Source organism: Homo sapiens, chromosome 8 (genome assembly GCF_000001405.40).
Source record: "Homo sapiens chromosome 8, GRCh38.p14 Primary Assembly".
Classification (NCBI taxonomy): Eukaryota; Metazoa; Chordata; class Mammalia; order Primates; family Hominidae; genus Homo; species Homo sapiens.
In genome coordinates this window covers 78531070-78558752 of record NC_000008.11, presented here as the reverse complement: position 1 = coordinate 78558752, position 27683 = coordinate 78531070, and the positions used below count along the sequence as shown (strand labels likewise).

Below are 27683 nucleotides of genomic sequence, written 5' to 3'. Positions count from 1 at the left end.
CTGATGTAAAGGAAATACGTGAACATTTGTTGATTATTAATATGGTTTGGCTGTGTCCCCACCAAATCTCAACTTAAATTGTATCTCCCAGAATTCCCACATGTCACAGGAGGGACCCAGGTGGAGGTAATTGAATCGTGGTCGGGCGGGGGGGAAGGGGGTGGTCTTGCCGTGCTGTTCTCGTGATAGTGAGTACCTCTCACGAGATCTGATGAGTTTATCAGGAGTTTCCGCTTTTGCTTCTTCCTCATCGTCTCTTGCCGCTGCCATGAAAGGAGTGCTTTTTGCCTCCCACCATGATTCTGAGGCCTCCCCAGCCATGTAGAATTGTAAGTCCAATTAAGCCTCTTTTTCTTCCCAGACTCGGGTATATCTTTATCAGCAGCATGAAAACAGACTAATACAATTACCTACAGTGAGAGAGGCAGTGAAAGGTATAGAATTAGTGGAGTTCAAGCCTGAAACTGACCTGGGTTTGAATTCCATCCCTGCCACTTACTTGGACCTCTCTATGCCTCAGTTTCCTTAGTGTTAATTGGAGATAATAGATATTTTAGGGACACTGCAAAGATTATAAATAATTAAACCAATGTTTGGATCCAGAAGCGGTATTCATTACCTGATTTAATGTAAAATATTAGATAATTTGATTTTGTTTTGAGAATCTGACAACTCACTCTGACTGCTCTGCATCCCCTTACTAAAACAACTGTAAACAGCATTTTGCATGTAATTTCAGATTTTTGCTACTACAAAACCAGTTAGTGGAAAAAAGACATCTTAGAGTCTAATTTACATTTATAATTAGCTTAAAACAAAGTGTCACATAAATTTACAAAACCAAATAGTTGGTACAAACAAATCAGACAAAATGTTACAGGGAAACACAGACTACCATCCCGGAGAAGGACAAGCAACATTGTACTACTGTCAAAATTTGGATCAAAACTATGTCTCTGCCAGGTTTCACTTTAACTGGAATTGAAGTTCCTGACATAGCTGTCCCCATCACAGGCATAAATACCCATCAAATAAACTGCAGTTGAACAGCCTCAGTCCCTTTTCTATAAAATGGGTATTTAATAATACCATTTTGACAAGAGCCTTATGAATATTAAGAGAACATAAATAAACTCCCCTAGCAGCTGACAGCCAAGTAATTAATCTTTCAGCCATTTCCTTTCTCTTTTTCCTTTTTTTCCCATGTTCTGAGTTCTTTTACACTTCATGTCCCACAATGCTGAAGTAATTGAAATGCTTTTACTCAGATAATCTCATACAACTTCTAGCATAATAAACAAGGAAAGTTTAATGCATTATTGTTTAAACAATGTCATTATTCTTTTTGGTAACCTGATTTTTCCAAATATGTAACTCTTTGATTCTCCTATAATATAGTATGTCTTATCCATGGGCACAAATTGAGTGTGTGTCAGAAATATTAAGTCCCTGGAAAACTACCAGTGGTGCCATTTTGGGTTCTATTTATATGTTAACAGCTTCCCTAAAACCAAGTTATTATCATTTCTACTCTTCTTCTGTTTTAATGCCCTCAAAATGTGGCTTCTAATTAGTAATTATATTAATTGGCGTCACATTCATTCTTGTTTGCTTTTTTCCTGATCATAACAAGAATTATCTGACTGTGAAGTTGGTGAGATGGGCTTTCTGATAAGGAAGGTTAGGAGGAAAAAAATGACAAGTAGGGTAACATATGCACATACAAAATTAGAGGAAGCTTCAGCAGTAACAAAATAGTGAGAGTCAATTAGTAGGAAGATTTTGTCATGTGTTGCCATTAATTGACCAACTAGAGTAATTAGACTCACAAATAACAGAAAGCAAAGAGTGGCAAATCTATCGTTCCTGCCAGCTTCTTCTGCTAGTCATCAGAACAATTATCTTCTAGTTTATGAAAGGATAAAGATGTAGTATTCAAATTTAAATGTTACCAATATAAGATATGGAGATATGTGAAACCTACTATAGTATCTTCATAAACATAGTTTTATAGCATCATAAATTTCACAGTAAAATTATCCATGAGAAATGTAAAACTCAAACAAAGTTCAGTAATATTTTAAATCTCAAAAATTAAAAAGAATTGCTGACTGTGTCTTGGCACACTTTTCTGTGTTTGTGAAATATGTTAGAGCCAGCCTGTTTTTGATGAAGAGCAACTGTACTGGAGAGAAAGCCTGTATTCATATTCATCGTCATCAGGCAAATCGAGGAGCTGACTTGCTTAGGATCAGTAAGTGCTTTTTTCCTCACTTCTTAACAAAGAACAGAACATTGTGTAAAAAAAAACAAAATCCCATTTTTGTTAAAAATAATAGTAAACAATGGAATGTTAGATAATTGATTTTTTTACTTCCCATATAAAATGATCAATAACTACTACTAAATACTAATTCGTAGTTGTATTAATTGGCATCACATTTATTCTTGCTTGCATTTTCCCTGATCGTAACAAGAATGATCTGACTGTAAAGTTAGTGAAACAAGATTACATGGGCAAGTAGATACTGACTCATGTAAATAACAGTGAGTCATGTTTGGCTGCCTGATTCTGTTAAAAGAAAAATGCATCCATATTCATTCAAAGCAAATGTTCTTTTGGTAACTGAATAAAAAGAATAGGTAGTAAGATCAATTTCTTTTAATTTACATAACTGCTAAACATAAAAGGAAAGGACAAAGGAAACAAACTGTGCTTTCTATCATATTTTATTTTTTTGCTCAACTACTGCCAACATTCTTAACTGATAGTATTACCTGTTTGTGTCCTTTCAGACCAAACCCCTTTACCCACCAGTGCCATAAAACAAAATCATAGTGTTGGGAGACATTTCAAGAAAGTCATTGCTATTGATTTGTCCCTCAAATATGACTTAATATAGCAATAGAATGATTTTGAAGTTAATAGTTTCTTTTCAGTGCATTAATAACTTTAGCAGTTTTAAATGTCTTTTTCTAGAGTGGTTTCTATACAAACACTCTCTCACACACACACATTGACACTCACTTTCCTTTTGTAATTATACACTCAATTCTTCTTGCATTCACCAACACCAAGGCTGCTTTATCCAACTCCTTCTCACTGTTGGCCAGTTTGAGATCAGAAAACAGGGATCAATTTTAATGTTCTCTTCAATAGACCTACATTGTATTTATGAACTAAGAAGTGATTTTTATTTTTGTTTTCCTATATTTTGAGCCTTTTGAATGACTACTTCTCTCCAACTATATGGCTTATAAGATGAGTCTTGTAACTGGGAGAAGCCAAAAAGTTCTGATGCCTAGCAGACTCTTGTCTCTTTGCCTGAGAACCTCAATCCTTTAGCCTTTCTTTTCTATTGAAATTCAAATATCTGTACTTTAAGATCTTAGTCATTTTTTTTTTACCTCAGTCTGAATGATCCAAAAGCAAGTTTTGATGATGTGGAGGAGGGAAGAGAATTTCAGGGCATACAGTTACTGTAAGGGGTATTAGATAACAGAGTGAATTGAGTAATAAATAGACTCAAGGGAGAAAGAAATTCAGAAAGTGCAGCTTGATGAAACTTATGCAAATATATGTTTGTCTAAGGTCTAATTAGTTAGAAGAGAAGTCTCTGAAGGTGACTACTATTCCTTTGTAAAAGTTTGAAAAATGCAACCTGTAAGTGCCTTGTACCCCTTCATATTACAGAATGTATAATATGATTCACACAGTGCAGAAAACGCAGATTGCCATAGACTCAGTCATGCACCATTTTGTACCCTCTCCACTTTGAGCATCAGAAAGTGGATTGTAGAAATCTGGTTCATCTTATTTTAACTTGCTCATTTCTCAAATTTAAAACAATCTTTTATTTTTAAACTAGTCTCTTTAAACCACAAAATACTGTAAAGTTATTCATTGAAAAGAATGTAACATTTACTACTGCAATATATGATGTGCAATTTATTGAGAATGTCTCCTAAATGCATCTTTATGTATTGCATAATCTAAAATTCATATCAGGTATAACTACAATCTAATTCTTGTGTCAACCATGAAAGCCTTTCTTAGAAAGCTGGTGAAATCCTTTGTTACAAATATCAGTCTCTGCTTGTTATTATGTCTGTATTAGTATCATCTGCAATCCTCAGCAGCTTACTTTTCATCCTGGTAAACTTCTAACAGGCCACATCTGAATCATGGATAAAATACAATTTGCAGGGAATTCTCTATTTCTATTCAGAATTTTAAAAATTTTAACTAAATGTGCAAGGCCTTCAACAATTTCTTAGCTTGCCCTTTACCTAAGCCTACTTGCTCCTTAGGTCAATATTAAGTTCCTGGATTTAAATATTGGTGGCTTTCCTCTCAGGTGTTCTCTGTTAAAAGCTTTCTCTTCCTTTAGAATCCTTAGTAAAGGAAGTGGTATTTGCAAGGAAGAGAACAGTGTCTTCCCTACTATTTAGCTGTCAGGACTTTAGGGCTACATGCTAGGTTGCATAGTGAAAACCCTGGCCTGGCGTCAACTGGTGGCATTAAAAATCACTTTTTCACTTCTTTGCAATTAAAATATTTCCACCAATTTATCTTTTCATTAAAAATGGCATGAAGAACCCAGTATGGGAATGGCCCATGATTCTGCTTCTGTGACTTGTGATCTACGACTTGCTCCTTCTAACATCTTTATAAATGCACTCTACATATTGCTGGGTGTCAAGTTTGTTTGTTGATATTGGTTCCCAACACTGCAGTGTCATGGGTCATCTCTGGAAATTATTTCTTTGCTATGTCTATGAAGTATCTCTCCTCTCCTCCCCATCCCGTGTTCTGCTGCCTGTTTAAACTTAACATTTATAAACAGTCCACTGGGTTTGTTTTGTTGATGCACTGGCTGTTTTCCAAGATTTTGTTGTTAATCTTATCTGACTGTTTAAGGATGACCTTTTGTGGTGTTATAAAACTCTGAAGAAAAGGAAAATAGATTTGGTCATCTAACCCTCTTCCAAAGACTGCAAAAAAAAAAAAAAAATCCAGTTGTTTTAAAATAGAGTGGCTTGATACAAAAAGCTGCGGCATATTACATCTGTCTGCATCTGCACGTTTTCAGCTTTCAGGGACCAAAAATTGGCAGTGCAACATATAATCAGACATAAAGGAAAGCCAAAAAGAAGCCAGTAGGGAATTTTTTCTGCCTAATATTCTAACAGTGTTGGTAAATAGGCCTACTACTTCTAGTATTTACATAAGAGACAGCAGTCAAATAACCAATTCAATAAAACAAACAATTCTTCTATGAGAAAAAAAGAATGACACCACTTAAGAGTTGATGGACATAGAATTATTAGATGTGAAGGGATCTTAGAAGTCTTATTTTATAGATGAGGAGTATGAGGTCTAGAGTGGGTAAGTGATTTGATAAAGCCAGAAATAGGACTAGGATCCAAGCCGGGATTCTCTGCCTCCACAGACGGGACCCTGAGTTTATTCCCTGACTGAACTTTTTAGGTGTTTATGCATTATATCAAGACAGCCCACATGCACCAGATTTGTTTCCATTATTACTAAATGAAGCAAGACAGTGCTTTTACGGGTACTGGAGTATAAAGTCAGCCAATGTCAAACTAGTCAAAAGAACTCTAAAAGAGACAGTGCTTTTCAGGCTTTTTTTTTTTTTTTTCCTGCAAATGGGAATTAGATACGTTATGTGTGTATATGTAAATGTATATTCAAATTTAAAAAATAAAAGTACAGTTTTTGAGTTTCTGATAGTTTAAATTATACATAACATCAAAATTAAACCCTTGCAGTCATCAAATATTTTGTAGTGTTTATTTTTGTAAGAGCCTTCCTTTCTTTATGTATCTCTACAATGTTGAAGATAATTAATGGGTCAAAATAGAGATATTATGCATTGTTGAGCTAACTTGGATAAACAATCTTTTTTAAGTGCCTTAAATTATATAAAGACTAAAAGTATCATTATTTATTCTATGGAAAGACACTTAGGTCTAGCTATAAAATAATGCTTAGAGAACAAGTCTTAGGTTAAAATACTCATTCTTCCCATGACACATTGTCTTTTCACGATTTAATTCAAAGAATTTGCCTTTTTAAGGCTCAATTATGTTTCACCATTGTTCCCATGCATGTTCCTGTTAAGGGTGCCTGATTCTGTTGCTAAGCAACTTTGCAGTCTTGTTAGGGCTTAATGATAAACTAATAACTATTTTAAATATGCCTGTTTGGATAAGGCCCCTTTAAGAATATCCTGATACTTCTGTCTAAGAGGCTATACAGACTTTTTCATTTTGACTCACGGGAGCATAAATGATAGAATGATGTTTTCCAGAAGAATTGGAAGAATGCCAACAGTGCACCAGAAAAGCACTAAGTCTTCCTTCCTTCCAGTATGCAACTTCCTTTTTTTTTTTTTTTTTAAGAAAATGGTAAAATCGGTCAAATGACAAGTCAAGGATTTCAAAGAATTGTTAGAAAAATAGATATTTCTTTTATTCAGTAGATTACCATTAGTTTTTTTTCTCACCACAAATTCTTTAGAAAAAGTTTCAAGCCATATTGTTTTGAAAATAAGTATCATATCAGCCCAACATGGGTATTTGAATTTTATGGGACTTTCAGATTGAACTAAATTGTTAATTAAATTCTCTCCACTTTGCTTGCTCTTGTTCCAGACATCTCCCTTCAATTCAGGAATATCTTCCTTTATAATTTTTTTTAACCAGATAGGAATGGCACCAAGCAGCTTTAATATTTCTTGTCCTGACATACAGAGACATATACAGGAACTATCAATACCTCTCCAGCACATAATAGGAGTTAAACAGCATTCTCAATGCACATCTGAAAAACACAGAAAGATTGTTCCCTTAAACGTCTTTCCAGTGATAATAAAACCAAGGAAACAGAGATATTTCATTAGCAAAGAATCACAGAGAATGTTTTAAATACCGGGAAGAGCCCCACTAACTTCCATCTCAATGACCATCCAAACCAGAATTTAATTGCTGAAGGTTCTGCCAAGAAACAGATTCTCCTTGTGTTGACACTCCCTTCAGATGTTTTGGAAGGTACCCCAAAACATTAGCCATTTTTATCCTTCCCTGTCTCTAGCATTTAAATATATATCTAATACTGCATAGATTCTATTTTTATTTTGTGGATGATCCTTTCTTGGGGGTGTCATCTAATATGTAAAGTTAAAAGTTCTGTTTCTTCTATTCTCTAAAAATTAAACGATTACAGTTTAAGTTTACAGCAACAAAGTCTAATGGCTTTATAACTGGGCAACAGAGGTGAGGGTGAGTGTAGCTATATGGCTACTCTGTCAGTTTCTGCACTTATGAAGTGGAGCCTGTAATACTTTTCTTCCAGACGAAGGACTATTTAGATATGCTAACATGGTGTCTACCATATACCATACATTAGACATAAGCTCCTTTTCCTATCTTCACTGGGTATGGCCCACTTTTAGTTGTCTAGGATTTACTAGAACAGTTCATACCTCCAGGAACATGTCTCTGATCATATTCCTTTATAGCATTCATATTACCAAACTAAAGACTCTTCTTTTGTAATATCCACACTCTTATTCCCATATCCTTATTTCTTATCTTATTCTCTGAAATCTTTAAAATTCAGTCAAGTATTAATTGAATTACTATGAGGTGAGGGGCATTACTGTAAATCCTGAGATTACAAACACACAAGATTCTTGCCCTCATAAACTTCATAGTCTCTTGTCAAGAGTAATAAACAGACAAAAACTTGCAATTCATCCAGATAAAATCTGTGACATTGGCAATCCTGTGCCTCCATAGTAACACATAAACCAAACATCGTATGTTCTCACGCATAAGTGGGAGCTAAGCTATGAGGATGCAAAGGCATAAGAATGATACAATGAACTTTGGGGTCTTGAGGGAGAAAGGGTGGGAAGGGGGTGAAGGATAAAAGGCTACAAATTGGGTTCAGCGTATACTGCTTGGGTAATGGGTGCACCAAAATCTCACAAATCACCACTAAAGAATATACTCATGTAACCAAATACCACATGTTCTCCCAAAAACCTATGAAAAAATTAAAAAAACATAAATAAATGAAATATTTAACTCAGATAAGGGAGGATGGGTGATCAGGGGAGTGTCTGTCTTTTCAAGCTTTTTTCTTGCATTGGCAATCAGATCTGAATCTGTGTTCCAGGTTTGGATTGATCAAGACAGCCTTAAAGTTCCCACTTAGCTTGATGAACTGCCGGCAGGTTTCTTCCTTCTGGGACCCTAGGCCTCTAACCACCCTTTTTCAAGATCACTTACTTTAGAAAACTTGGAATTGTAAATTCTTTCTCTGACTCTTTGAGCTGTAAATATTTTACAACCCAAGAATGTCTTTCTGATAGACCTGGGAACCATCTTTTTGAAATGTAATAATCAAGAAAGATAATAATGTTCCTATTTCCCAAACTGCACGAAGGATAGGACCCTAACTTGGCTAAGCACCCATTAGCAAACACAAATGTCTAATCACATTGACAAACTCTACCCTAATATCCTCCAGTATTTTTCACTAGCTCACAGCATCATTTAAAAACTTGCCTCCCTTTTATTTCAGCAGAATTGAGTTCAGTCTTTCTCCCCTATTGAAATAGTCTTGAATACATCTTTGCTTGCCTGTTTAATTCTGTTCTTTAATAGAATGCATTCAGATTTTATACAAGAGGAAGAAACGGATCTTTGCCTAATGTTCTACTCAATGATACCTAGCATTTTGTCATTGTAATTGCTGACTAAAATAAACTCATTGTATTACGGTCTAGAGGAAACTATTTACAATGGCTCTAAACTCTTTGACTAGCAATAAATGAAACCTCAGAGTTCATTTTCTAATTGTAAATACAATTTTTTCAAAAATATATTTCTTTACACTTATGCACAAAATGGACCTTTGTTTCACTGAGACTCTGAGTAGGCTCAAGTAATCGCTTTTCCTAATAGCTTTATTCTTACTTTTTTTTTTTTTTTTTGGTATTTCAGTGATTTCAAGGGTTCAGAATTGTGAGCAAACTTGAGACCAGTTAATCATGCCCATCATTTATAAATTAATAAAGACTCTGCTGATTTTCAGTGAAGCTTATAGGATCAAATAAGGCACTTGGCTTCATGGGCAGTCTTGACTGAGAAAGGATTTCAGATAATTGATGGTTTTATCTAGAACTCTGAATTTTAAAATTTGATGGGAATTTCTAAATCAATTATACAAAATTACAAATAATCTTCAAGAAAGACCATATAGCAAAATTTTCTAAAGATTGCTGTAAAAGTTAAGCTTAAATTTAGTTCTAAGTTAAAAAAACGTTCATCTTGCCACCTTTTTTATTATAAAACTTGTAAAACCAGATTTTTGCCTTTTAGTGTGCATATCTGCTACTCTAGCTTTTTCTCTTCCAAAAAAAGTTTTAGTAACTTACATTATATACATCATGTCATACAACACATAGCATCTGAACATTAAGGAAATATGGGAGAATGACTTTATCTTTTCCTGCTACATTAAAATTATGACTTCAAACTCCTTTGGACAGTTTTTAAAAATATGCCAGTCATCTAAATCACATAAACACCCATATACATATACCCAGTGCAGCTTTCTTGTTTGGAAACAGACTTTTATTGGTGTAAATAAGTGACAGAGTTAGTGTGTTAATTTTGTGTAGTTATAATTTAAGACACCGTAGAAATGTGGTTTTAATGTCAACACATATACCTTTTTCAAATATAATGGAGATTCATGTAACCACCTGATAGTGCATGTATTTGTCCATTAAATAAGGTTTAGAATGTACTTTATTATCTCAATGAATTGAGTATGATAGTATGATATTTTATAATTATATCTTTTATTTCATCATATATTGTAGATGTAGAGTCACTGGTGGGAACTATATCCCCTGCATTATAACAATATAATTATTGGAAAGTATAGTATTCTCTTAATATCTAAGTCAACATGGAATAACAGATTTTCAGCAAAAGGAGGGAGTTGCATATATTTGACCTTTATTGACAGGCCTATTTGTCTCCAGAAATTATCCTATCTCTATACGATTCAGTGTTCTTAAGGAAAACCAAATTTCCTTGCTGTTTAATTCTTTGTTTCCACAAAATACTTTCCAAACACATAGCTATTAGATCTACGTGAGGTGGATGTATGTATCAAAATTTCTTCACAAGCCACTTAACCAAGGTGCTAAGTTTTCCGGAATCCAAAACAAATCAGTTTAAGAGCTAGGTATGCAAAGATCCTGTAATACTCTAGATTCCAATGAGCTGCAGTTTTTATTAACTCCACATTACTAAGGAAAGTTAGATTGGGTCTTTACATTGAGTTTATTTAATTAACATATGGTTAAGAACACAATTTAAATGCAATTACACTAGGAGATCATGACTGGAAATGCATAATAAGGCAATGTATAAAAAATAAAACATCACTCACATATTCCCTAATTGTGTTCTGCTAAAGAGAGAATCTCACCTCCATAATGAGGCTATTAATATACTACATGTTTCTGGTAGTAAGTTCTCATCTTTTAAGAAAATACATCAAACCTTATATCTGTGTAGTTTAATCCCTTTTAAGATATATTTTCTAATAATACTGTTATTCTAATATTTTTTAAAACTTATTTCATACTATTTATCTTAATATATTTGTGAGATAATTATTGAGACATTTTATTAATATTTTATTTAGTCTTAGAATTTCAGAGAAAAGTGAACCTAGAGAGGTACTTCTCCTGGTTCAAACTGTGAACATGAAAATTCTGAATTTAAGTAACTGGACAAAGTAGGTCATGTAGATTAAGAAAACTAAGATGAGCTTCATCTTTCATCACATTTTAGTTGCATTTGGATTAATCTGGGAAACTTCACCCAGATTCAAAAATTAGTAAACCTCCTAATTTTTGAAGGTGGAGAATTTCTACTCTCTGGCTGATTTTTAAAAGGTTGACTAGAAAAGGGTTATATAAATCAAATTAGTGCAAACAACATACTGTCTAGTCCTCTCTCAGTCACCACTTTCCTAATTAAATTTCAAAGTCATTAACTACTCATCTTATGTCTTTAAATTTAGAAAGCCTCAAATTAGCAACAAGTATTCATATGACTCAAAGCAGGAATGGTTTTACAGAATGATTTTGGTAGATTTATATTTTCCTCATTTGTAACATAAGTGGTTAAGATATATAAATTAATTATAGAGAAGTCATATATTTTTCAATGGAAAAAGTCCTACCCCTGTGCTATTTATGGCTATTTGTGTGCAACATTTTAAAAATACTGGTAAGGCCAGGTGCGGTGGCTCACGCCTGTAATCCCAGCACTTTGGGAGGCTGAGGTGGGTGGATCACGAGGTCAAGAGATCAAGACCATCTTGGCTAATATGGTGAAACCCCGTCTCTAATAAAAAAACAAAAATTAGCCGGGTGTGGTGGCGCCTATAATCCCAGCTACTTGGGAGGCTGAGGCAGGAGAGTTGCTTGAACCTGGGAGGCAGAGGTTGCATTGAGCCGAGATGTTGCCATTGCACTCCAGCCTGGCGACAGAGCGAGACTCCAATCACAAAAAAACAAACAAACAAAAAAAAACAAAACTGTTTTTGTTTTTTCTCTTTTTTCTTTTCTGATTCAAACCTTCAGTATTTGTGATGATTAACTGTATGACTAACTAGACAGTAAGATCCTCAAACAGTTTTTAACTTATTAGAATAGTCTTTGAAATAGCATTTTAGTAAGTGGGTGTTGAATGAATGAGTGGACAGATCTCATTCACATTATAATGCTTGGATTTTTATGTAGAAATACAAGGTTTAATTTTGTGGTCAAATGCTTAAAAATGGAAACAGAAGTTAATAATTCCATTTGATTTATAACATGACCTCTGTCTTCAGTAGCTGGTGAAAAAGACTAGTTTTACTGGTGGCTTCAGAAAACAATAAATAGACTAAACGGGTTACAAGAATCAACATATTTATGGCATCTATTTAACTGGTTCGAGAGCTGAATGAAAAACAATCAGGTGCCAATTTCAGTTATGAGGTTTTAACGGCATGGGTTTCAAACTCCGCTCCACATCTCATTTAATTTTAACTCATTTTGTAATGCTTCCCAATCCTGGCACACAGCCCTTATTTTGAGGTAATAGGATTTGATTTTTTTTAACGTTACATTGAATGCTAGAGTCAAAAGTTTGTATGTGACATGAGAAATGTGATACTTTGGATATGTGGCTATTTATGATAAATGCAGCTCTACAGAAGTTTACATGAAACAAAAAATGCCAATTAGAATTTCACCCTTAAAATAATTACAATTTTGTAATTATAATTTAAAATTGTAATTACTGACCGTCTGTCTCTTCCTTCTTAACTATATGGTCCTATATCTAGGCTGACTAATTGTGCAAGATACCGAAAGGTCTCCACTGGATATGCCATTGAAGAAGCAATTTCTCAGGGGAAGCAATTTTGCAAGGCAAAGCAGATTTTACAAGTAGTTTCCAAATAAACTAGTCATGTCCCCAGGACAATCACACAATTAGCAGTTTCAATGTATTAGTTGATGTATTCGACAAAGCCATGGATTTCATTCACTCTTCAGGAAACCTTCATTGTATGAAGATAGCCTCTCTGTGGCTAGTGAGCTAGGTCAGATTTTGTAAACTCTAGCAAACCTGGGCTCACAAAATAATCTAATGAGCATTCTTGATCTAAATTCAAACAGAATGGGATAAAATACATAAATCTTTGCAGGAAGTTTGGACATTGAAAATATCTGTCACTTAAGATGACAATTCAGCTTAATAAATGAGGCAAACGGTACTGATGAAACATGCCCTTTCCAAGGAAGGAGTCACGATGATTTCTATTGATGCTATCAGTATTTCCACAAGCTTCTGTTTCCAGTAGGTTATATATAGTATCATAGAGGAACAGTGAAAACACATAATTGAGTCTTCATAAAGAATCAGAAAAATACTTTAAATCTCCCTTGACAAGAAAACCCAAGCTCTTTTATTGATGAGAATTATTATCATTATAGAATTATAATGTTACTAAATATGTAATTTTTGTATTCAGGGAAGACAGACTGGTATCATATTAGTATTATGTCAGTAAAAGCTAATTAGTATACAAAATATGCTAAGCTTACACTAGGGATTCTAAGTTCTGATCTTAAGGTTATGCCACTTTATCTCAATTTTCCAGCAAAACTGTTTATCGGAGTTACTGTATATTATCCCACACTATATCAGAACTATTTCAAAAGCAATCTTGTTAGTCATCTCCATTAAAAAAAATCCAAGCTATGCCTTTTCTATGAAATTTTTGGTGGTTGCCATGACAATGGTATTTCTATCTCAGCCCACAACTGATATTCTTCAGCTCTTACCCAAAGTAACATGATTTTGCTTGCTAGGTGTCAAATTCTAAGATTCCAAAAGATAGTCCCAACATTTTCTCCAAAGACTGGGGTTGGAAAAACAAAAGCATTACTAAATGTTGAATTTTTAAAAAAATCATTTCTATTTTGAGCACCCTATTATAGGTATTTTCATTTTGCATAATCCTTTCTTTTCATTTTAATAAGGAAGCATATGTTTACTTAGTTGCAATTATAGAAAGCATGTAATTTAGCTTTTTTCTTTATTATTTCCAATAGTGAAAGCATTTTCCATATATTACCGTTTGGGAGATTCTTTAATAATAAAGAATATATGACATATAATGGATATAATCCATATTTAATCAGGCCTCTATTACTGGCTATTTAATGTGTATTTACTTTTTCCTTATTACAAATAAATCTGCAGGTAACATTTTAATAAATATATCTTTTTTTCCTTCTAAGAAATTATTTGAAGACGGGGTTATAATTTGTTTGGCTTGGACAGTAATTATAAAAATGTGAATCTGAATGTGTTTAGATAAGGTACGTACATTAGTCTGTACTCTCTGTTGTTATCTTCTGTACTACACTGGACATTTACATGACCTGCCTGACCTCTGAAAGCATTTAAGTTTTTGATTCCTGGATTAATAGATGAAAAGTATTTTTATGGCTTTCAATTACTTTTATCAAATAGCTCTTCAAAACCAGTAATACCTATATTTCAATGTCAGCAACATTCACTCAAGTGTTTTCCATGTGCTAGGTGCAGTGTAGGCACTGGAAACAGTGCAATAAGACAACAAACAGGGAATTTCAAAATATAGTGTGCTGGAATATGATTCAGAATAGGATGTTAGGTGAACCCATGAGAAGGACAGAAACCAGCCTTTCCCAAAGTAGATTGTGGCCCATTACAGGGAGAAAGGGTGGTGGGCAGGTGAAGTATGGAGGAAAAAGAGAACTTCAGGCAAAGAGAGTACCACATGCAATGGCCTAGAAAATATAGAGCAAAGCACATTGAAATTTCAAGTACTGTGAGAACACAGAATTTAAAGTTAAGTGTTAGAAGACATGAGGCTGTTGAAGTAAGTTGGAGCAAAAACATGAAGGCACTTGTTTGCCACGAGGTAGAAGGTAGTATACATCTACATTGTATAACAGCATAGCAATCCTTAAGTGTCATTTAATAATTTTTGTCTGATTTATTAGCTATATAAGTATATTATAGTAAATGGGTTTTAATATGCATTGCATGTGAGAACATCAAATTCCTGGCATAGTTAATAGCATGAAAAGTGCCACAAAGATCAGAAACTTCCCAGTGCTTGAAAGGAGACTTGTGGAGTTCGACAGCAGCACAGGCCTATGATTAGGGAAATTGGAAATAACGGAGCTGCAGCCATAGGTTGGAACAGTAGAAATGCCTGAAGTGCCAGGATACGGAGTATACTCTGGATATATTCAATGGGCAGCAACACGACATCGTAATTTTAGAGAAAACAAAGTAACAATGAAAGAAAACACCAATTCTCTTAGTTAAAGCAAAATTGAAACTGGCCTGATTTTAGCATTGGAAAACAATCTCCAGGTAGGTGACGGAGGAAAACTGCATCCATTTAGGAATTCTCGTTTTGATTATCACTGGCACCACCATACCAGCCTCTAGGCCTCCACGTTAATGCCTGGGTTTAGGTGTGAACAAAGGATGTTGCATTATTTCACTTCAGTACATATGATATAGTTGAAACATTAAAGAATTGATGGGAAAATAAGAGAATAACTAGAAAAAACAGAGTATGAGAAAAATAAGGTCTGTTTTATAAAAGCTAGTTTATTCCTTTTAGAAGATTGCTAGCCTGGAGTCCCTGAAACTTTAGTTTGTACTCCAGGTATCTGTTAGCCTGGTGAAATAATATGTAAGACATTGTGTGCATTTATACAGACCACATACGAAGGATATGATGGATGATGACCTCTGTCAAAAGACAGAAAAGAAACTTACAATTTGCCCATTAATGCAAGTCAAAGGCATAGGGTGGGACACTTAGAAGCAATGCTACAAGGAATCTGAACAATTTGATCCAAGCACACAGCTCTCTGGGTTGCATTATTTAAAAGCAAATCTTAAAATATCTGGAACCAGGGTTCTGACCTCAGTGTTCAAGGCATGTAGAGTTCTGAGAATCCCTTTGAAATTACACTGAAAATCTTGGGCACACGTATATTTGCGTGTACATTTCTGAGAGGGCACTGAAAGATTCATTAAGCATCACCTTGCTTTAATTCTATGGCACATCTTCATGCTACTTCCTGTGTTGGTTCTCTTCATTTCTGAAGGAGGAAGTTCTCGCTGCTGAAATCTTGGGCATAATTCAGCAGGTGGTGACAGCCTTCCCCTGAAGGAAGAGCCCAACACTCTTCATCTTCAGATGGATACGAGACAGGAAGGAGATAAGACACTTTTGTAAAAGTTGAAATAAAAAATAGAATCTAAACTATGGTGGTATGACTGGGAATACAAAAGAGAGTACAGGTAGGAGGGGCATCTTGGTATTTGGTACACACCACAACATCTTTTTGTCAAGCTGTCATTCTGTCTGGAAAACAAATTAAAAAAAATTGTCACTATTTAATAGGAAGAAAAATGAAACCAAATAATCAGTGCCTAGCATATGATAGAGATACAGCAAATTCTGGAAAAAAAGCAAACATATGCTGGGACTACAAATTTTAGTATTAACAATATATTAATTTGCAGAACAGATAGTGGTTGGCCTTTTACATTTCTGACGTTTACAATATCTTAATTTCTGATCACCTCACATAAGCTCATTTGATCTCTTATTGTTGCAGTGGAGTTTAGAAGTTTGAATTTTGAGATGTGGATGACATATGAAGTTATGAGATAGATGAATATAGGTGCTGGAGCTAAAGAAATAATAGAAAGCTTGGTGAACTGTAGTTGACTACAAATGGACACTGGTTCTGGGGTGAATAGGAAGTGGCCTGAACAGAGAGAGGGCCATAGTACTTCCTAACATTAAGTTCAAACTAGGGCAGTGCAGTATGGTAGTAGAAGCAAAAACAAAGTGGCATAAATACAAGGAGTGGCATGGCTCTTCTTACTGTATTTTTTGAGACAGGGTCTTGCTCTGTAGCCTAGGCTGAAGTGCAGTGGTGCCATCATGGCTCACTGCATCTTCTATCTTTCAGGCTCAAGCAATCATCTTGAGTAGACGGGACTACAGATGCACACCACCATGCCCAGCTGATTTTTTAAAATATATTTTTTGTAGAGATAGGGTCTTACTATGGTGTCCAGGCTGGTCTTGAACTCCTGGGCTCAAGTAATCCACCCACCTTGGTCTCCCAAAGTGTTGGGATTACAGGTCTGAACCACCACACCCAGCCCCTGCCTCTTATACTCTTGAAAGAGAAAGCTAACCTTCTGTTGGAGATGGTAGAGGGAATCTAAAAAAAAAAAAAAAAAAGAGAAATCCAAATTTCAGTTGAGCTGAAGAAGCCAGAAAATGTGAAGAACAAAGAGGGCTGTTTTGTTAGGAGCATGGACATAAAAACAAGTGTTGAAACATGGTTTTGACACTTTAATTACCATTTGAATAATTGTGGACTATCCAGAAAAATATGAACAGTAGTGCACATTAAGTCAACATTGAGGAAAGTGATATATTTATTTGAAATACAATTCAACTGATATTTTGCAATGTTTTAACAAAAGTTCACATTACTATATATATGTAAATTTATGAAATAATCAAAAGTTTAAAGAGAGATCATGTTTAATAAGGATGTGCTATTGCTTAATTCAATGGTTAGAGAAATAAAAGAGTTCAGTGGAAATACATTTCTGTCAGATATTTCCACCTGACAGCTGTTGTATATATGGGATCCAGTATCTGCCTTTCATTTCCCTCATACTTCTTTGAGGTGGGTTTAGCTTCATGATTAAGAGCATGACCCATTGGGTTGAAGCCTTTGGGTCTGAATTCTAGATTGCCACTTGCCAACTGTGCAACTTTTATTTGTAAAATGTGGATAATACTTGTGAGAGTTAAATGCCACTGATAAATAGTAAGTGGTATAAATTTAACTGCTTAAAAAATATAAGAATATTATTTATCAGGAAGAATTTGGAGAGTAGACGATGATAGTAGATGGATTCATAGGGGAAATGCAGAGATGTTGAGGTTGGGCTGAATTGAATTAGAATAAAATTAGAATAAATAGTTTCAAGAAGGTAACAACTGTTTTAAAATTTTGTAAATGTACCTTGTATATATATAATTTTGTCAATTAAAAATAAATAAAATTTGCCAATTTAGTTTGGAATTATCCAGAAATAGCTTAGCAAAACATCTGGTTAATGTGCTATTCAAAATTAATTTTATTTTAATAGATTAAAGTTATATAGGCCTCCTTTGGGAAGAAAACTAATTTTTCTCAAATGTAATAATTATAAAATGTAATAATTATATGTAATACAGATTTTTGTAGATGGAATCATTGTAATTAGAGTATACATATGTGTGACTTTTATGAACACATACAGAATGTCTAAAAAAAAAAAATTTGCGAAAAAAGGAAAACCAGAAAGTAACAACTGAAAGAAGTCCCTGCCCCACCCCCTCTGTCCCTCTACCTGAAAAAGGGGAACGGTTCACAGGAAAAAGAGCAGGAGTTGCAACTGGTGACTTCTGACTGCTTTATATTCTTTGCTGTTAATTTAATATAATTTTAATCCTTTTAGGAAGAGCACAATCTATTCCCAGTATGTCACAGCCTCTCCCATCTCTCTTGGCTTTGAACTGCCCCAATTTGTTTGGCCCTGCAGGGATTTGACTAGGAGCAGCATGCTTGAAGTGCTTTATACACACAATCATAAGAAGCTAAATACTACCATCCAAAATAGATGTGGATATATATTTATGTCTATTTGAGGGACTATCTATACAATATCTCTTTTGAGAAGACAGCAAAAGCTTAGCAGATAGAGTTCTTACCCTCCCTAATACTTGCTAGGGGCAGGGGTAGCAGGGGGGCAGTGGAGCTGGCACCCTCGAGACCTATATTTTTATTTTTCGTTTTCCTCCTAGCATTAGAACTCGTAGGGAAGCAAGTTACACCCTTTTATTGCCTTATTCATTCTCTCCATGCATCTCCTACAATCAGGCTTCTGATTCACTTTTTTTTTTTTTTACTTCATTTCTTCTCTGATGTTGTAATTGTAAGAAGAAAATGAACTTGCCACACTCCTCTTTCTTCTTGACCCCAATGAACTATGAAACTGCTAAATATTTTTTCCTATCTCTTTTATCTAGCAATCTATCCTCAAAGGTGTGAAATCATATAATGTGTAAGACAGAATTGTTCTCTCACATAAAACTGTAGGTGTATGTTTATATATATGCAATTAGAGAAATCTTCACATTCAAATTAAATTCGTAGAGGATCATGCATTATATGTAATATAATTAGGTTTATTACATATAATTATATTACATGTAATTCTAATGTGAGGATTTCTTTAATTAATTTTACCCTTTAAATTTAAGCACTGCAGGTAATAAATATTTTTGTCCTTGTGGACTACATAATCACATATTCTTCATTTTTTTTCCTTTTTTTACCTTTTAAAAATGTAAAAAGCATTCTTAGCTAAGAATGGGTTTGGCTTGTAGATTATAGTTTACTGCTGTGAATTATAGATTGCTTACTGCTGCTTTAAAATAAAAATCTCTGAGTTAGAGAAAAACAACAAAACTCAATAATCAGTATTGATGTTAGATGTTCTACATCTCAAGAAGTACTATGGAGAAAATATACTTATCAATTCCCAAGAAATCTGAGAAACAGAAGTAAATGGAGTCAGATCATTTATGAATAAATCAGACAAGTTTTTAATCCACTTGCTTATACCCCTGAGTCTCCCTTTTTGTTTTATGCAACTGCCATTTCCTGAAGATGATTTCTTCCTTACATCGAGACAGGGTTCTCAGCCTCACCTCAGATTTCCTCATGTGACAAAAGAATTATCATGTTCATTTTCTCAATCTCTTATCACATACCACTTTTATCTTTGATATAGCCCAAATGTTACTGTTCAGAAAATTATTTCTTTTGCCCATTAATTGGATCTCATCAACCTTTTCCTCCAAATGTTTTATGCCACATTTAATTAACTCAAATTACTCACAGCTGATTTCCAGGCCTGCCAATATACCACTTCTGCCTTTCATTACTCACCTTGTTTCTCTGCACTTTTTTGGTCTATCATTTTTGCCTCAAATTTCTCATATTTAAAAAAGCCTCCTTGTCATAGCATGCATAATTCACTCATAGATGTGGAAGAAACAGATGTAATACCTTTCTGCCAAGACACCCACACTCTCTCACAATGCCCAGTCATTTTTCCCTGGGTTGTGTGTAGGATGGGTCATTAATATTTTGACCTATTCAATACTAAGCCACATATGCTACGGTAACACCTCCAAATTCGGCCTGTCTCCCAGGCTGTCAACTTTAGATCAAGCTTTGTCTCTTGACCATCTTTGTTCCCTAGGGGAATAATTTCTAAACTAATTACACCACAAATTTAATATATTACCTCAGCGCACACCAAGAGCTGCCAGATGAGGTAAAGTGCAGAAACAGTTTCTGAAGAGTTTCATCAGGATCTACTACCGTATACCTGACACTTTTCTTAGTATTAGAAGCTTAATATGGCAGTGGTTGTCTTTGTGACAGTTTGGACACCAGAATCACTGTTATTTACTACTCCAAAATAAGCTTGAATGCCTCTTTCCTTCTCCTTGAGAATTATTCTAGTTAGTCTTGAAACTTTGATGTAGTTGATCTTCAAGACAAGTATTGCCATAAATGTCCCTGCACCTGACTTTCAAGAAAACTCATTACTCTCATATTTCCCCAGGATAACTATAGAAGTTTAAAACAATAAAGAGTAGTACCATGAGAGAGAAATAAGGTGGGTTGTTGTTCATTTATTCAATGTTTATGAATAGTTGTCATGCACCAGGCATTTTGCTTTTGATGCCAGAAATAGCAAACAGTTCCTGCTTTCAATGCCTCCCTTAACAAAGTCCATGAGTTTCCATCAGAGAGAATAGTATAAAGAGTGAGTTAAGAGCCAGCATAGGGTATGGGGGTTATATGTCAGCACAGGGACGTAGAGAAAGAACAAGTTTAGGGCCAGCATAGGGTATGAGGGTTATATGTCAGCACAGGGACTTAGAGAAAGAAAAAGTTTATCATGAAATACTTTTGGAGACCAGGACACCTGATTTATGTTTTGAGGAAATTTAGGAGTGTGAAAGACAAGAAGGTTCACAAGTGAACCTTCTAGGCAGCGGCAACAGCATGATTTAAAGCAAGAAAACATGAAGAGCAATGGTGGTTCAAAAGAACTGTCAATAGATAAGTATGTCTGCAGCAGAAGGCCCATTTGAGGCAGTAGCACAAAAGATGCATGCTTGCTAGCAACCAAAATTTGCAGTGGATAATCTACTGTAAGGATGCATCACATTTTTATTTTCTTTCATTCTAGAAGTATTTAGTGAGTGGCTCCTATGTGCCAGTAATTATTGTAGGTAGGTCCTGCAATGAAAAAATAATAAAAAGCCAAGACCCTGATCTCATGGAATTTGCACTCTAGTTGTTGGCGGTGGGGGGTGGGACGGAGAGGGGGTTGGGAAATAAAGTAACTCAAAAATATATCGGTTATCGCATAGAAACAAATATGTGGATAAAATTGAAGACTTTTGGTGGTGCTGGAGGTGGTGTAGATTAGAAAGGGCTTTTTAGACTATCTCTTTAAGGACTTGTTCCCTTGTGGCTTTCCACCTCTTAAAGGCAAGGAAATGTCTACCCTTCAGACAATAGAGAGCAAGTATTGGAAAAATTTAGTCAGTTAAGCTTCAAAGTCTAAAATCTTCATAGAGATAAATTTTGCTAAAAGTTTATAGCTATCTTTTACTGTATCAGAGAATTAGATGGATAAATCCAAATAATTTTCTACCTAGGAAAAAAATATCAGGGTTTGCCATGAAAGAAGCTTATGAGTAAGAAGCTTAAAAAAAAAAAAAACTAAACTAAACCTTGTTACTTGGGGAAATTTTGGGAAGAAAAGAGCTGGTACAGAGGTTTATCAAAGGAAGTGGCCTATAGATCCCTCAGCCCCTTCATAACTGGTCCCCAAAACCCTGAGCTCTATCTAGGTCTATATACTAAGTTCCTCCAGCCATATGCCCTGACACTTCTTAGAGAAGGAAAGGTAAAGTTGTAGACTCAGAAGCATTATTTGAAAGAACCACTCAGATATGGGAGTTGACTGAGATGCCAGGATTAAAATGTAGTGTGTGTGTGTGTGTGTGTGTGTGTGTGTGTGTGTGTGTGTGTGTGTGTATGTTTTCTAGCTACCCAGATAAGTTACAGATTATATAAAAACATATTTTCTTTCTACAGTAGAGTTGTAATCTATTTTGTAATCCTGCTGCAGTAGCAAGATACACAAATATTTCTGGGTAAATACATGGACTATTCGGGGTCAAAGAAACTCTTATATATGCTTTCCCAAAGTTCAAAAAAGAAGATACACAGCTTTTTGAGGAAAAATAATTGAGTAATAATTCTCATGCAATTGTTTCTTCTACCTTCCTTGGATTTTTCCATTTCAGAATGAAATGCAGTTGCCACCTTGTCCTCAGGCTAGTTAATAGTATTTGCACCTTTTTAGACTATGGACTATCACAAATAAAGACAGTAACTAGAATTGGATTGTCTACCTACATCAGACTCCTCTTCTTTTTCTTTCAAAGAAATTTGTGCTCACTACTTCCAGAGTCTCTAACCAGAGCTCAGATGGTTTTCCTTTATTTTCATAGCCTCTCATTGTCTCTGAGGCAGCTGTACTTCTTTCACAAAATACATATATCATGTTTTTGTTGCAATATCATTTTTGTTTGGAATTGCTTTTTTTCTTTATAACTAATGTTGGGTAAGGAACAGCTATCATTTGGCAGTCTTAAATATATTTATAAATAGAAAAATGTATTCTTTTAATTTTAAATAGTAATAGGACAAATTTCAGAAGCTAAAAATATACAGGTCATACCCCACCAGTCTTGATAGGGTTTTGTTTGTGGTTTTTTTGGTCTTGTTTTTTAATAACAGAGGAAATAAATTACCATTATTATTTGAAACTTAGACTGATGCAGAGGGAGGTTAAAAGATTAAACTGTGAGCCTGAGCTTGAGCAGAAAGGTAAGATTGTTCTTCCTGATTCCCTCAGCGAGTCACTGATTCAGAGGACCATTTACAGTCATCACCTGGCAGCGTGCATGGGGCGATTGGTTCCAGGTCACCCCTGTATCAAAACCCGCAGATACCAAAATCCAGGGATGCATACCTCTCGGGTACTCTAAATCCTCTCTAAATTACTTGTAATTCCTAATTCAAAGTAAATGCGATGTAAATAGTTGTTATACTCTATTATTTTATTTGTAATAGTTATCTTTTATTTTTTTGTCTTGAATATTTTCAGTCTGCTGGTTGAATCCATGGATGCAGAACCCCAGATTCGGAGGGCTGAATGTACTTTCGATAGGTTCCTGAGCAGCAGTGATTATAGTCACAGCAGACTGGACAGTTTGGTGAGCAAGTTCAGGGGCTGGCTTAGTGATTCATAGTTCTTTCTTCCTCCTCCCCCAGCAGTTTTGTTTCAGCAGTGATTTGGTCAAATGTGAACCACAAACCAGCAGCAAAAGCATTTTCTAGGAACTTGTTAAAACTGGAAGGCCCAAGGTTGCACTCAGGCTTACTGAGTCAGTCACTCCAAGTGGACCCCATCCCTAAACCTTGAGACTCACTGCTCCTCTTTTGATCTGGGAGAGAAACAGAAAAAAGAAGGAAAAAAAATCCCCAATGTGAGTATGCTGGAAAGTAAATTTGAATAGCTTTTTATATTGGGTACTTACTGTGGGTAATTTACAAACTATTGGAAGGAACCACAAATTCAAACACAGCCAAATTTAAGGTCTCTTTAGCAGAAATCAATCTTACATCATGGCAGTTCTCCCATTCTCCAGTCTTTCACTTGATAGATCACTTCCTCATTAGGATGACCTACAGCAATTCTACATGAACTGCTCTTTACATTTAAACAGTGCTTTCTGTCCTAACATGTCAAAATGCTTGACAAGCAATCAAAAGGTAGCTCACTAATTTTTTCAACTCATGGCAGTAAATAGCCTGCATCTACCATCACTGCTGTTTACTGGTGATTTCTTGGCAGGGAAACTTTAAATGCCTTAGCAATGTCTAGAAAGTCAATGACTAAAGAAAATATTCATTTTGGCTTCCATAGGGCTGTATTTGATGAACTGCTCACTAACTTCTATTATTACGTCTCAAGAATAGATAATGATACTCAGCAAGGGCAAATCCCAAAGAATAGTCTATGCTTTCCTTGATTGAATCTGATTTTTGAGAAATTACATGGCCCAATCTACATTTAATATGATACAAATGCTACTTAACTCCCTGTTATTTCTGGTTGCATATAATTGATACTACTTGAAGAGTAAGAAGCAGAGTCTCACTACACTGGGGACCCTTTGAGAGCCAAGTCTGTGTCTTAGTCATCTTTGATGCCTTAGTGACCAGTACCATACCTGGAATAGTATATGTGATCAGTAACTCAAATGTATGTATTTCTTGAATGTATGGTGCATGAATGAGTCAAGATACCTTTAGCGTTGGAAGCAATCTGTCATGGAGTAGGAGGAGAAAAAGTAGTGAAAAAACTTCTAAATTCTCAAAACCTAGTGCTGAACTGAATGCTGATAATAACTTGACAACGTCCTTTGGCATTGCAGATGTTGAGATACCAACATCTAATCCGCCAAGAAAGAATTTCAGAATTAAAATTTGGGTGTGTTCTTGCGCTGGGGATTTCTCTGACCTACCTTCTGATAGAACTTTGAACCCGAGTCAATAGTCAATATACTAGTTTTTTACTTAAAACTGTAACATTTTAATCTAATTTTGGAGACGTGAAATAAAACTGATGGGAAACTCTTGAAATTTTTATCACTGGAATAACCTAATTTTGAAAACACTGATGGTTAGTTTCTTGAAATATTAATATTACTACAAGTCATAAGTAAAAGCATTCTATCTTAAGTGAGAAACTATAAAGTTGGATAATTACTATTTGAGTTTGTGGCTTGGTTTGAATAAACACTTGCTTGTTTTAAGTAAAAGTTCAGCTGAAGTGACAATCAACCTTTAATCTTGTAAAGCTTCTGTGTTAGATATTTTCTATCTCTAACATGCCAAACATGCATATTAAACTGAGTTTTTTTGCATGCAATTTCTGTACCCTTTTCTTGTGTCTTTTTGTTTGTTTGTTTTGCTTTGTATTGTTTGTTTGTTGGTTTAGATACAGGGTCTTGCCCTGCAGCCCAGGCTGGACCTCCTAGGCTCCAGTGACACCCCTACCTCAGCCTCCAGAGTAGTTAGGGCTATGGCATGCATCACAACACCTGGCAAATTTTTTTAAAGTGCTTTTTGTAGAGATGGGGTCTTGCTATGTTGCCCTGGCTGGTCTCGAACTACTGGCTTCAAGCACTCCTCCATCTCAGTCTTCTAAAGTGCTGGGATTATAGATGTGAGCCACTGTGCCCAGCCCTCTTTTCCTGTTTGAATTTTAAGTACACTTTCATAACAATCTTATTTGAAAATTAGAATGTAGATTGTATACCATTCTGTTTAACATTCTATTGCCAGCACCTAGTACAATAAATGCCTGAAATAAGGTACATAATAAATATGTAATAAAAGTCCTAAAGTATCTTGATTAAAATCTATATCTATTTTAAGTACTTGAAGACAGAAATAGATTCAAACTGCAAACGAACATGTGAATAATCAAGTCAGTGTTAATGTAAGTACAAATTATCTGCTGATTAAGATATGGAAAATGTCTCAGCTTTGGAATTACTTTCTGGTAATCCTGAGTTCAGAGTTATGGCAAGGGCATATTTAGAGCATGTTAATATTTACTGAGACATGTGTAAAGGAAGATGTTGAGAAGAGGGCATGTAAGATTTTCTGGGCTCCAAATGAAACCTGACTCATCTGCAAGGACCAACAGGCAAAAGACAGAAATGAGTCCATTGTTCTCCTAGATGAAGCCCACCCTGGTGCACGGAATGAAAGAGAGGAGAGGACCTTGAAGGTCTAGGCTTCAAGGATACTCACTGCACTTGCTCTCACAAGACCAGGCGCTGGACAAATAAGAATGTGGGCACCATTGCTTTGTATTTTTTTTATTTTTATTTTTTCTGAGACAGAGTCGCTCTGTTGCTCTGTCACCCAGGAGTGCAGTGGTGCCATCTCAGCTCACTGCAACCTCTACCTGTCGGGTTCAAGTGGTTCTCATGCCTCAGCCTCCCAAGTAGCTGGGATTACAGGCACACCCTATCATGCCTGGCTAATTTTTTGTATTTAATATTTTTAGTAGAGAAGGGATACCACCACGTTGGCCAGGCTGGTCTTGATCTCCTGGTCTTAAGTGATCTGCCTGCCTTAGCCTCCCAAAGTGCTGGGATTACATAGGTGTGAGCCACTGCGTCCAGCCTGCTTTGTATCTTTAAATACACAGTGACCCGATGCAATAGTAAAATATGGCTCAGTGAATGTTCAATTAAATCTGACCAATCAGAAAAATTTCTTCCTTTTTTTTTTTTTTTTGAGATGGAGTCTTGCTCTGTCACCCAGGCTGGAGTGCAGTGGCACAATCTCAGCTCACTGCAAGCTCCGCCTAGAAAAATTTCTTCTTTCTTAGGGAAGCAGTTATGATAGAAATGAGCAGGGGTGAGCTGGAGTGGGATGAGGGTGCTTTCCTTTGGCTAAAAGCTCTAAATTTGTTTGTTTGTTTGTTTTGTAATTTCAGCCTAATTTACAACCTTACTAAAATTTATGGACTTTTATAAAAGGTAAAATTTTATTAATATTAAATAAGCTTTGAGTGTTGGGGTGAAAAAATACCTAATAATTTTAAGAAAAGGTAGAATTATTGCTGTGAAAATTACTCAAATTGGAAAAATAACTAATAGGTACTAGGCTTAATACCTGGGTGATGAAATAATTTGTACAACAAACCCCCATGACACAAGTTTACCTATATAACAAACCTGCACATGTACCCCTGAACTTAAAAGTTAAAAAGTTACTTGAATTTTATTTGTTCCAAATATGAGACTGCTATTGAATTACAATTATGGTTATTACTAAATTGAAATTCACTTGCTATCTCCATCTGATATTACCACATACTTCATTAGTGAACATTTAAGACTATTCTATTGAAATCTTTACAAGTCCTTAAATTGAACTTCATTATAAATTATAGCACACCATGTCAACCAGCTAGCAGGAATTTGCCATCTCTCCTGCCTTCTTCCCTCTCTCTCCTCCTTCCCTTTCTTTCCACAAAGCAATTAAATGGCCATACAACAAAGAGTAGGGATCCAAACCCTTATATTAACTATAGGGGTGGAGTGTGGAGTCTCAAAACAGACCACCTGGTGTTTAAATCCTATCTGTGTGCTTTATTAGCTGTGTGACTACAGGTACTTTACTCAATTGTTCTGTGCCTCAATTTGCCCATCTGTCAAAAAGGTAATAATAATGCCTACCTTTTAGGGCTGCTGTTAGGAGAAATTCATTTGGTTTTAGAATAGTGCTTAGCACAGACTAAGCACAATAACTGTTATATTATTTTTCACTTCTATGAATATACAAAACATTAACATTTGTATCCTTAGCCTCAAAAGCGAATGATCACTGATGTGAATAGCTGATCAGCTAAATGGAGGAAAAACGCCATTTCTTCAGTTTCTCATTTTGCTTTTTAAACTGAAAACCATAATCACTAATTTCTGGCATTATCGGTTGTCAATAAACAGTCTCAAGCCATGATATTATTTTTGAGAAGGTTCTGAATGTTTGCAATGAAGAGAACTAAGAAAGGGTAGAACATAAACTTTTTGATTTGGCTGATCCCAAGTGAAAGATGAAATTAATGATGAAAAATGTAAAAACTCCGCTGAAAATTCATACAGAAAGAACCTCAAGTACTTACAACATACTTGAAATTCAAATGACAGCAAATGACTAATTCTTAAATCA

The 27683-nt window shown here is 35.2% G+C and overlaps 1 protein-coding gene and 2 long non-coding RNA genes across 7 annotated transcripts in view; 2 read left to right on the top strand and 1 right to left on the bottom strand.

Moving 5' to 3' along the window:
* Window positions 1-27683, top strand: part of LOC105375911 (uncharacterized) — a 268808-nt gene that overhangs the window by 107227 nt on the left and 133898 nt on the right. The gene's annotated exons all lie outside the window — the stretch shown is intronic.
* PKIA (cAMP-dependent protein kinase inhibitor alpha) overlaps window positions 1-27683 on the bottom strand; it is an 88928-nt gene that overhangs the window by 46515 nt on the left and 14730 nt on the right. For 2 of the 5 annotated variants that reach the window (XM_047421953.1, XM_017013621.2), the window contains exon 1: window positions 197-23042. The exons of the other annotated variants lie outside the window; for them this stretch is intronic. The gene's annotated coding sequence lies outside the window, so the exon portion shown is untranslated. Of the gene's footprint in view, window positions 1-196; window positions 23043-27683 lie in introns of those variants that run through there. 5 annotated transcript variants of the gene reach the window in all.
* Window positions 250-24861, top strand: PKIA-AS1 (PKIA antisense RNA 1). Its single transcript, NR_125389.1, has 3 exons — window positions 250-329; window positions 2154-2254; window positions 23032-24861. It is a non-coding gene; the product is annotated as a PKIA antisense RNA 1 (long non-coding RNA).